The following is a 12075-nucleotide window of genomic DNA, read 5'->3' as shown; positions in this document are numbered from 1 at the left end:
TGTGTGTGTGTGTGTGTGTGTAAAATGAGATGTGTCAACATTTGGAAGATATGCATAACTCAGCAAATCAATATTTTCCAAATGACCAAAGCATGATGTTACAAAATCATACACTGGTAAAAAGATCCATTTTAAGTGCAAGATAGACCAATGCATTTTAATGTAACAGAGCATAGAAAGTTAACTGACAAAGTTTCACATTTCACATTGCAACTAAACTTTAAAAAACTACTTGTTGATTTTTTAGGCAGTATTAAAGAAGAATATCCACAATAATCTAAAAAGGCTGTAACATTATTTCTTCCTTTTCTAACTACAAAGATGTATGGGGCCGCATATTTTTCATATAATCCTACCAAAATAACATATGGAAACAGACTGAATGCAGAATCAGATATAAGAATCCAGTTGTCTTCTAGTTAAGCCAAACACTAAAGAGATTTGCAAAAATGTAAAACAATGCCACACGCCTCATTAAATTTGGTTGTTTGTTTCAATAAAAATGTGTTATTTATGTTAACATGTAATGGCCTTATTATTTTTAACTTTTAAATAAATAATTTTTAAATCTCTCAGTTTTAATTTCTAAGAGTATTGCTAGAACCCACAGAAACATAAGCTCTTTGGAACCCTTAATAATTTTAATTGTAAATGTATCCTGAGACCAAAATATTACAGAACTTCTGGCTAAAATTATTACTATTAGTAAGCTGTGTCTTTATTTCTATTCCAAAGGTAAATTTTATCCATCTGGGATTCCTTAAGTCTCAACTAGCACATCACCATTAATGAGCTTCTATTGGACCCGCTCCAGTTTACCTATTCCACAGTCTCTCACTAAAGAAGAGACTCTTTAAGACATGTGGTCAATTTTTAAATACCTGTTTTGTATTTCAAGTGTAAGGAATACTTAATGATAAAGGAGTGTTAGCTGTCAGGCTTTGTCAAGCAGTAAGGTGCACAGCACAGTGAGTCAGGCAAGTCAGAGGTCACAAGCAAGCCAGGGTCAGACTGGATCAAGAGTAAGGTGCTGCTTCTCTGGCCTGTGCAGTAGTGCTCTGTCCTGCACTGGCCCATATGATTCATGTTTTCTCTAGTCACTATAATAGATCTGAAGGTAGAATCCACCTTTGGATCATTAAAAGGAGAGAGAGGAGATCAAACAAAAATAGTTGATTCTGTTTCCTCACTGTGGATGCTCCGAGCTGGAAACTCACCTCCTTATCAGCCTTTATGAGGTAGTGGAGAAGCAGAAATAGAGGATCCACAGGTGTGGCAAAATGGAGAAGACCTCCTGCAGATTACAAAAAGGATGAAGGGAATTAAACGTCTTGGAAAGACAATGTGGCTATTTCACCTTAATCTCAAAGTGAAAAACAGTGTTGAAAAATATATGTGAAATTCCAAATTCAAATCTCTTCTTATACAGGCCTCAGAGTCTATGTGATTCTCTCAAAAGGCAGAATGTGCTCTATGAGATTTTACTCCAAAGAGCTTCAAATCCCTGTGTGGAGAGGAGAACCAAGACCCTGAAATTGATCTTTAACTTTCCATTTCTTCTTTAGAAATCATTTTTAACACAGCCTCCCAACCCCCTGAAAAACGAGGGGTTAGGAGGAAGCACAGACAGAATGAGAAGACGGCAATGTTAGGGAACCTGTATCGTCAGTCTATCTATAAAGCTGCAGTAAAATGTAATTTCCTGTGCTTTTGAGGACAAAGCCATGGGAAAGCAGTGCCATTCTCTCTATACACAGTCCCTTCCGTGGTCTGTGGGCAGGGGGATGTAGGATTCTTTGAATAGCCACTGACTGCCCCCACCCCAGAACATGAGGCAGAACAGTTCCGTTGGCCTACTCTTCCTTTAGTCAGCACTGCCCCCAAATTAAGGGAACACCACAAGAAACAGAACTTTGGTGCTGGGGGGTGTATGTGTGTATGGGGGTGGGGGAGCAGGTGGGCAGGCAGGTATATGACAAAGCATTTTAAAGAAACTTTGTTATGCTCTAGCCTATGTTAGAAGCCATATCAGTATCCAGTTTCAAGGAAATAACATGTTAAAAACACAAAGATCCTCAAAAGAGTTTCTAATCAACACAATATGTGCCCCATGTACAAATCTAACTTCTAACTCAGGATGTGTCACTGTTTTAGGAGACAAATCAGAGTTGCTAGTTTAAAACTTCCTACCGTCTAAGACACACAGGAGATGACTTAACCTTAGTGCTCAAATGATCTTTCCTTTCTCCTTGATTAAACCTGCTCTCATGCCAAGGAAGGCTAAACCAGTGACCAGACTCCAAACCCGGTGACAGACCCACAACCCCACGTGTGAAGAATGGAAAAGCTGGAGTATGTGTTTAGTTATTGGAAATGCTTACACTAGTCACCTACCTGATTGAACTGATTGATTTATAAACCAAGAATGGTGTTTTTCCTTGAAAACTTTTACTTCAAACAGCTGCTGTAGACACATATTGAACAAGTAAATGGCTCCTTCTCCTGTTAAGACAAATCTGTCTTTTATTTGTAAGTTTTCACACACACACACAAACACACACACACCCCAAAAGACTATCCAGTATCTCTGACGAATGTTCCTAATATGAACATAAACATACACAGGTCTATTCTAAAAAACTGATTCCAAGGAAAGCTTACAGCTATTATACATAGATGGTAGTTTTCCAGCTCCATAATCCTCACTGGACTTAAACCAAAAAATTAGAAAGTGCAAGTCATTTATCTTAACTAATACAAAGCCTGTCCTTAAATCCTCCATCAGATCAAGAGGGAATATCCATTCCTAAACTATCAAAACACAACAGTTCAGCCATATGACATGAGCTGGCACGTGGGTCCCTGCCTCTGGGCAGTGTGTGGCTCTCCCCACACAGGGTCTGACAGGGACCAAGCCACAGGCCAACCCTAAGTGAGAAAGACAGACATGCTTGAAGCCATAGGGAGTGAGTAAAGCTTTATTCAACTGAATGAATTTTTTTTCCTTTCCTTTCTTAACCAAAAAAAAAAAAAAAAAAAAAAAAGGGAGGAGGCACAAGAGGGTGAAGACTGTGCACATCTGCATGTTTTATCACTTCAACTAATGAAAAAAAAATTTTTTTTTTAACCACAGCACAATCTCTGGAGACAAGGATGCTGACTTTAACTCTATCTCCACCATATGCTGGGCACGTGCCCTTGGAGAAGTTACATAAACCTTCCTGTGGCTGTTTCCACATCTGTAAAATGGAGACAATACTGAACCTCCTCAAGGGTTTTTATAAGAATTAAAAAAAAGAACACATGTAAATTTCCTAAACCAATACTTGGCACATAGTAAGAACTCAGCAAATGTTAGCCTTTACTTTCCCACTGCCAATGTAGCAAATAAAAACATTTGTTCCTCTGTTGTCTATGAGCATTTAGATAAAACAGAAATTTTAAAAGAGGGCTGGCTTTCTTCTGTACCTGTACTTTTCTTAAATGCTTTAGAACCTTTACTGCTACCTAAAACTTCTCTTGAAGAAATATTTCTCACGTCAACTTAGTCTGATATATAACTAAGATTTCTAAATATAGCTGACCAATTACAGTCAATTTCATTTTGAAGAAAAGAACACTGGAGAAAGTCAGGAATGTGTTTCTTCTCTTGTTGCTTCTATTTACATGTCTCTATAACAACAAGGCACTACTCAGTGGCCCTCCCATACTTTTACTATTCCGTATTACTGTCACCAGGAGAAACCTCTAATATGGCAAGTATCAGGTGTCTACACAAAACCTTATAAATTAATGGAAAAACAATTACACACAGAGATAAACACTATCACCCATATTACTCAATATTTAGAATACACTTTAATATTTTTGCCTAAAAAATGTGAAGACAAAACTGAAAATGCACTGAATATAAAGTTAAAATAAAATTTTTCCAATAAGATATGAATCCCTTCAATAAACAATGCTTATCATTTAAAAAAAAAAAAGTCCCCTGACGGAGAAAAAAAGTACTACTTTTTGGTCAGAAGAAAATAGGGAAGTATAGCTAAAACTGAACCTAATCAAAATCTTGGCATGTCAAGTAAAAGCCTTCTGTTTTTGTTTTTTTAAATTCTGGTTGTTTATTTTACTTTATAAGATAAAATGGATATAAATGGAGGCTAATGTTGAATAACTAAGAAAAGTTGGCTTAAGGAAGCCAAAGAAAATTAATCTGTTTTTAAAGAGAACTCAAACATGCTACTTTTTTGTTTTGCCCGTATTTCTGATGGCTGAACAGTTCTGTGAATTAAAATTATGAGAAGAAATTTTTAAAATGTTTAAGTCAAATGAATTATCTGGGAAGACTAGTAATGTCATCACCTTGTTTTCTTCTCCTCACGGTGCCATCTTAACTTTAAAAGCTATTCAGAAAGAGCAAGGACACAAAGACATAAAAGTGTATATACTCATTAGCCACAACATTTAAGAACATTCAAGTTATGAGAAGAGAACTTACCTGAACAGGGGTTAACCAGTTTTACAAACATTAGCCCATTTTTCATCTTCTTTGAAGCATCTTTTAAATATTCTGAAAATAAACCGTGAATATCTAAAATTAAAACACACAGCTGTTTTGTTGCTCACCTTACTTTACCCTGTTTTCCTTTCTTCTACTTATATGACTTTTGTAAGATTTTTAACTCAATTTATCACTTACAAATGTTGTGATCTTGAGCAAATTACCAATTTCTCTGCAAGTTGCAGTTGAATTTCAGGTAGTTTAAATGTATTGCTATGAGGAATGATGAGAAGCAGGGGTCTAGAATCAGAAGGCCTGGGTGATAATCTTGGCTTAGCCACTTGGATAGCTTTGTCACCCTGGGCAAGGGTCTTAATCTCCTGTCTCAAATGCCATTTATAAACTGACAATAATAGTATACTTGTTTTTCAAAGTATCAAATTAGCCAATCTACTGAAAACATTAACGTAATCAAGCAAATAGAAACATGAAATAAATGATAGCTATTATTATGAGTATTATAATTTGTAATTGTTACTATTATGAAGTACAGCATTGTAAACATATTTACCTGAAACCTATATTTTTTACACAACTATCCTTTGCCTAATTTCCCAGTGGGATATTTGGCTTTTTTTTTACTACTTTGTGAGGTATCTTTATATACTAAGGATATCGACTATGTTTTTAATCCTGCTTATAATGATTTTTGCCATATAAAAGACATAAAATCTTCATGTAATCATATTGATCTTTTTCATTATGGTTGTATCCTTTGTATCACACTTAGAAAGACCTTTTCTTAAGATTCTGTGAATTGCCTATATTTTCATTTAATATTTAGAAATTATATTTTTAACCTATCTGGACTATATCTGGGTATAAGATATTAAGAGGAAATCCAATTTAAATATTTTTTTCGAGAAGTTAACCAGTTGTACCAAAACCATCAAGTTTTTATCACATAGATTAAAACATAAAGACCATGACAATTTTATTGGTAACACTCTTCATATATTTTGAGTGGCATATTCACAGAACTCTTAAAATGTTCCTATTACCAAAAAGAACAATGGGGCTCTGATTAGTAAGGGGGCATAGCAACAATTTACCAAAAGAGCAAAAGAGAAAGAATGAAAGAAGGGAGATTTTACTCTCTTTTATTTTTCTATGGCCCCCACTCCCTTTACTCTACTTCAGATCTTCATAAGCTTAAATAGAGCAGACATATTTTACAAGTTGGCTTACCCATGAATGGTTAAAATACGACCATTTTTTCTTAAACTAATAGTGACATTAAGTATCTACAGAAAAAAAAAATTGAGATTTCTACTTTCCACCAAGATGGAATAACAGGAATTCAATTAACCCTCTGAAACAACAACAACAACAAAAACCCACAAAACACCAGACAAAATATATGAAACAACTATTCTCAAGGCACTGCACACAAGCCATGCAGGACCGTAGTCCCTGAGAGATGGTAAACAAATGAGATGAGCCCTATGATTGCCCAGCTTACTGCTTTAAAAGAGCTTCCAGGCCACAGTGCAGAAAGGGAGAACCCAGTAAAGCCTAGCTGACTCACTGAATTGAAGAGATGATGCTAAGAATTCCAGAGACACCAAGGTGGTTAGGGTTCACAGGTCAGCACACAGGAAAGGAGAGGGCTAAAAAGAAACAAGACCCCAGAGATCTGCAGAGGGTCCTACTTAAGTAGGATCAGTGCATGCATGTGATGAAACTACCCAAAAGCCAGGAGAAAACCCATCTAAACAGATTCGAGGGAGCAGTACCTCATACTTCCTCAGGGTCTTGAATTGTGCCTACTCCCAGACAGACTGTAAAACCTCACAATTCATGGAGCTTTAGGCATAGTACTCAAAAGGGTCCTTAGTAGTAGGGAAGAGTCAGCCCTAACTATTTGCTGGACTGGTCCTACCAAACTAATTATAAAAGCAAGACCTAAAAGTATCCAATTCTTTCAAAGTAACTGTGTCCAAGAATGAAGTTCAAGGGTATTTTATAGAAATACAAAATACTCATCACCCAAAAAGACAAAATTCGCAATGTCTGCCATCTAATCAAATACTATGAGGCATTCAAAGAAGCAGAAAAATATGGCCCATAATGAGTAAACAAAATCAATTACTGAAAGAGGGGTATTAATATACAAGATAATAGAATTGATAGACAAAGGCTTTAAAAACAACAATCCTCATAGACGAGTTAATTAGAGACATAGAAGATTGCAAAAAAAAAATACCTAAATTGAATTTCTAAAGATGAAAAATACACTGGATAAAATTAATAGCTGAAGAAAAGATTAATGAACTTGAAGACACAGTAATAGAAACTATCTAAAATGGGAACACAGAGAAAAAAATTGAAGAAAAAAGAGTATTAGTAAACTACGGGACAACTTTATGCATTTTAATATATGTATAACTGGAGTTTCCAAAAGGAGAAGAGGGAACAAAAAAAAAACTTGAAGAAAGTAAGTCTGAAATGTTCCAAATTTGATGAAAACTACAAATCCAAGAAGCTCAATGAACTCAAAGCATAAGAAACAGGAATAAAACTATACATCACAATAATACTTTGAAATCAGTAATTAAAAGAAAATCTTGGCTGGGCATGGTGGTGCATGCCTGTACTCCAGCACTTTGGGAGGCCAAGGTGGACAGATTGCTTGAGCCCAGGAGTTCAAGACAAGCCTGGGCAACGGGGTGAAACCCTGTCTCTACAAAAAATACACATGTGGTGGCATGTGCCCGTAGTCCCAGCTACTCGGGAGGCTAAGGTGGGAGGATCACTTGAGCCCAGGAAGTTAAAGCTGCAGTGAGCTGTGACTGCACCACTGTACTCCAGCCTGGGTGACAGACTGAGACTCTTTCTCTAAAAAAAACACTGTTATTGTTCAATTGTCTATATCTCCCTTCAGTTCTGTCAGTTTTTGGTTCATGTAATTTGGGGCTCTGTCATTGGGTGCATGTATGTTATAATTATGATATCTTCCCAATAGACTGTTATGTGTCTAGTAATAATTTTTATCATAAAGTTGATTTCATGTGATATTAGTATTGCCACTCCAGCTCTCCTTCAGTTACTGTTTGTATTGTATATCTTTTCCCATTCATTTATTTTCAAACTATTTTTGTTGTTAAATTTAAAGTGTGTGTAAGTGTGTCTAGTAGATAGGATATAATTGGGTCAGGAGTTTTCCTCCCTCCATTCTGCCAATCTCTGCCTTTTAATAGAAGTGCTTAGTGCATTTATATTTAATATAATTATGGATAAGGTAGGATAAGGTAGGATTTACATCTGCCATTTAGCTCTGTTTTCTGTATGTCATATTCCTTTGGATTCCCCTATTACTGTCTTATTTTGAGTTAAATAGATGTTTTCTAGGGTACCATTTTTGATACCTTGTTGTTTCTTTTATTTAAAGGAGTTATTTTCTTAGTGGTTATCCTGGGAATTACAATTAGTATCTTAACTCACAATGTAGTTCAGATTAATATTAACTGAGTTTCAAGAGTAGTAAGTTTTCTGCACATATTCCTTTTCCTCTCCTCTCCTTTGTGCTACTGTCATACAAATTACATCTTTACATATTATAAGCCTGTTAACACAGTTCATAATTATTGCTCTATGTAGTTATCTATCACCCAAATGAGTTACAAAAATATATTTGTGCTTTTATGTTTATTTCTGTGTTTATCTTTACTAGTGCTCTTTATTCTCCTTGTGGATTCAAGTTATCATCTAGTGCCTTATCCTTTCAATCTGAAGGACTCCCTTCATAATTTTTGTGGGACAGGTCTGCTAGTGACACATTCTTTTTTCCTTTATCTGAGAATGTCTTGGTTCCTTCCTAATTTTTGAAAGGTAATTTTAACAGATATAGAATTCTTTGTTGAGACTCTCTTTATTTCAGCACCTTAAATATGTCATCCCACTCACTTCCAGCCACCATAGCTTCTAATGAGAAGTCAGCTGTTAATTTTATTGAGGATCCCTTTTATTTGATGAGTCATTTTTCTTTTACTGCTTTCAAGATTCTCTTTGTCTTTTCACAGTTTGACTACGACACACACACAGGTATGGATCTCCTTGAGTTTATCCTATTTAGAGTTTCCTGCACTCATTAGTTGTGCAGACAAGTATTTTTTTAAATCAAATTTGGGAAGTATTTGGCTATTATTTCTTCAAATATTCCTCTTCCACCCTTCTCTTCTCATCTGGGATTCCCATAATGCATATAATAGTAGGCTTGATGGTGTCCTACAGGTCTCTGGGACTAGGTTCAGGTTCAGTTTTCTTTATTCTTTTTCTTTATGTTCCTCACCCTGGATAATCTCAATTGGCCTGTCTTTGAGTTTTCTAATTCTTTCCTCTGCCAGCTCAAATCTGCTGCTGAGCTCACAAGTGAATTTTTCATTTGTTATTATACTTTTCAAATCCAGACTTTAGATCCTTTTACAATTTCTCTATTGATATTCTCTATCTGGTGAAACTTCATTGTCATACTTTCCTTTCATTCTTTAGACATGATGTTCTTTAGTTCTTTGACTATGTTGATAGTAGCTGAATAAAATCTTTGTAGAATAAATCCAACATCTCAGCCCCTTCAGAGACAGTTTCTATTGACTACTTTCCCTATTGTGTATGGGTCATACTGTCTTGTTTGTGTATGTATGTCTCATGCTTTTTGTTAAAAAACAAAACAAAACTGAGCACTTCAGATAATAACAAATGTGGCAATTCTGGAAATCAGACTCTCCTCTCCCAACTCCCCAGGATTTGTTATTGCTGTTTTTTGTAGTTATTGCAGTTGTTGCTGTTTGTTTGTTTAGTGACTTTTCTGGACTAATTCTGTAAAGTCTGTATTTCTTGTGGTGTGCAGCCACTGATGTCTCTGTTTAGTTAGCTTAGTGGTTAGCTGATGCTGTGAACCAATAAGTGATCCAATCTTTGCTGAAGGGTCCTGTGTGTGTGTGTTAAGGCATACCTTCAACAGTTGGGCACTTTAATCTTCTGCCTTAGCTTGTATTTATTGCCTTCTCCGGACCTCATACTCAGTCAGAGGTGAGACACTGAGGCCCTCTCAGGTCCTTCTGAGCATGCACATAGCCCTGCATATGTGTGTAGCCTTCTAATCCTCTAGGAATATGTCAAAAGAGTTTTTTAAAAGCCTCTTATGGACATCTTATTCCTCACATCTTACCCGTAAGTTTTTGGCCAGGTTTTTATTTGCGCAACTGGTATTGACCCCTCAGAAGCTACGACGTTAAACAATTGTCACTGATTGTTTTTGACAAATACCCTGAAGATAGGGCTCTGTGGGAACAGAGCAAGCTCTGAGCTCCAAGGTAGGTCAAATAACAACTATGCCCTGCAAATGAGACTTTTCCAAGGAGCTGTGAGAAAAGTCAAATAGGGACAATGCTCTGGGAATGGGACTTCTTGAGGATCTTCCATCCAGGCCTATCCTAGCCAATGGTTGAAGGCTGTTGGTTTTTACAAGTACCGTTTTTACAAGTTTTGCAAGACTGCTGGTTTTCAAGGCTATTGCAGAGCTGAGGAGAGGAAATGGGAGTAGTTCAGTTACAATCCCACAAACCCTGCTGTTCCTAATAAGATTCAGAAGATTTTCTTGAATAAACACTTCTCAAACTATTGGAAGCCTTTGGCTAATCTCAGGGGTTCTGAAAAAGTTGCTTTTTGCTATCTTTGCTAGTGTTTTCATTGCTTTTATGGGAGGGTGGATTTACCCTCACTGAACTTTGAAGACTTGGTATGAGAAAAAGGGCTCATTTACTATAATATTTCTGATAAATTCCTTAGTCTATACCTGGTATTAGGCACACAAAATTACTTGTAACTATAAATTAACTCTATCAAAGTTAAAGATTTTCCATTTACTCTGAGAAAATCCTGGGTCATTTCATGGACCAGCCTCTCACCCAACAGGTTTGGAGGCTCCACCCTTTTTCTAACTTCTGCTGTCTTTTACTTGCATCTAGCACAGGTGAAGAATAGCTAAATTAATTAGAGAAGAAAACCCTGCTTTTACAGCAATGGGAAAGAATTAGAAAAGAAAGAGGGAGTGTGAGGAAGGGTCATGATCTATAAACCTACTTTTAACTTATGTCTATTTCTTCAATGATGTCAGCATAGAAAGAACATTGGACCCAGAATCAGAAGGGTCCATACTCCAATCTCAGCTCCTCTCCTCACTCAGCAGTGTGACTCTGTGCAAGATACTCAACCTCTCTGTGGTTCATTGTGTCATCTATAAAATGGGTATAATAATAATTTTACATGTTTCTGTTAGATTGAAATGAAATGTATGTGAAAGTGCCTAGAACACATAATAAATAATCAATTAACAATCAGTAACCCTTCCCTCAACTACGTGGAAAAAGTCGAGAACACGTAGGGAATAATAAGATCAAAATATGAAAGTCACGAAATCTAAGCACAGAGTTACATAACGGCTTAACAATTAGTCTTCCAAGAAAATATTAAATTAAAACCAGTGTATCTTGTTTAAAAGCCAGAACACAATGCATTTTATATGTAAAAATCAAGGCAATGTAAAGTACCCAGTAGTGTTTCTGGCACATGAGATATACTCAATAAACATAACATAAATGAATTGTTCAAGTTTAGAAAAAACTCAATAAAAAATTATAAAAGCAAGTTTTGATACTAAAAGAGCCAAATTTCACTTGTCTAGAAAATTGACTCATGTGAGACACCTTCTTCCAAAACTATGCTTCCAACACTATTTTTAAAAGAGTAGCTATACACTTTGTCTTTTTTACTCTTTTCTCTCATCTAAGAGATGACATAAGTCATGCTGGCTAAAAAAGTATTTTCACAAAAAAAGAAAAAACTCAGACAACTGAGAAGCAGCTATCAGTCTTGCTGGCCATTTTAGGTTTAATAATATGTTAAACTTCCCAATTATCTCAAGCTCTGCCCCTGTGGTTCCTTAAAACTAACTGATTCCAGAGTAGTTATCTCATGGTCTCTATATTCTCTGTAAAGATTCAATTGTATATCCCACCGGTCACCATTAACTCTGGCAGCAAATCTTCCATCTGCTGGGCTTCCACAGGCTAGGCACGGTGGCTCACACTTGTAATCCCAGTATTGTGAAATCAGGCTGAGGCAGGCAGATCACTTGAGGCCAGGAGTTAGAGACCAGCCCGGCCAACATGGTGAAACCCTGTCTCTACTAAAAATACAAAAATTAGCCGGGTGTGGTGGCACATGCCTGTAATCCCAGCTACTTGGGAGGCTGAGGCATGAGAATCGCTTGATAAGAATCACTTGAACCCAGGAGGCAGTTAGAGTGAGCCGAGATCACGCCACTGCACTCCAGCCTGGGCGACAGAGCAAGACTCTGTCAAAACAAAACAAAACAAAACAAAACAAAACAAAACAAAACAAAACACCCTCAACAAACAAGGAATCTCTGATTGCTACTTTCCTGACATCTGTACTTTAAAGAAAACATACCAGTGACAAAGAGACAATTGTGTCTAATGAATGTAAAATCA

At 36.4% G+C, this 12075-nt stretch overlaps 1 protein-coding gene across 11 annotated transcripts in view; it reads right to left on the bottom strand.

The window, feature by feature from the left end:
* Positions 1 to 12075, bottom strand: part of RNASEH2B (ribonuclease H2 subunit B) — a 60783-nt gene that overhangs the window by 38484 nt on the left and 10224 nt on the right. For 10 of the 11 annotated variants that reach the window (XM_047430613.1, NM_001142279.2, XM_047430617.1 and 7 more), the window contains exons 2-4: positions 4499 to 4570; positions 2395 to 2502; positions 1218 to 1294 (exon numbers count right to left, since the gene is read on the bottom strand). In XM_047430613.1, the coding sequence (XP_047286569.1) occupies positions 1218 to 1294; positions 2395 to 2502; positions 4499 to 4570 (257 nt within the window). Of the gene's footprint in view, positions 1 to 1217; positions 1295 to 2394; positions 2503 to 4498; positions 4571 to 10645; positions 10668 to 12075 lie in introns of those variants that run through there. The other variant, XM_047430616.1, reaches the window with a different exon arrangement.

The sequence above is a fragment of the Homo sapiens genome, chromosome 13 (genome assembly GCF_000001405.40).
Source record: "Homo sapiens chromosome 13, GRCh38.p14 Primary Assembly".
Taxonomy (NCBI): domain Eukaryota; kingdom Metazoa; phylum Chordata; class Mammalia; order Primates; family Hominidae; genus Homo; species Homo sapiens.
The sequence above is the reverse complement of the archived record's forward strand: the minus strand, read 5'-3'. Positions and strand labels throughout refer to the sequence as shown.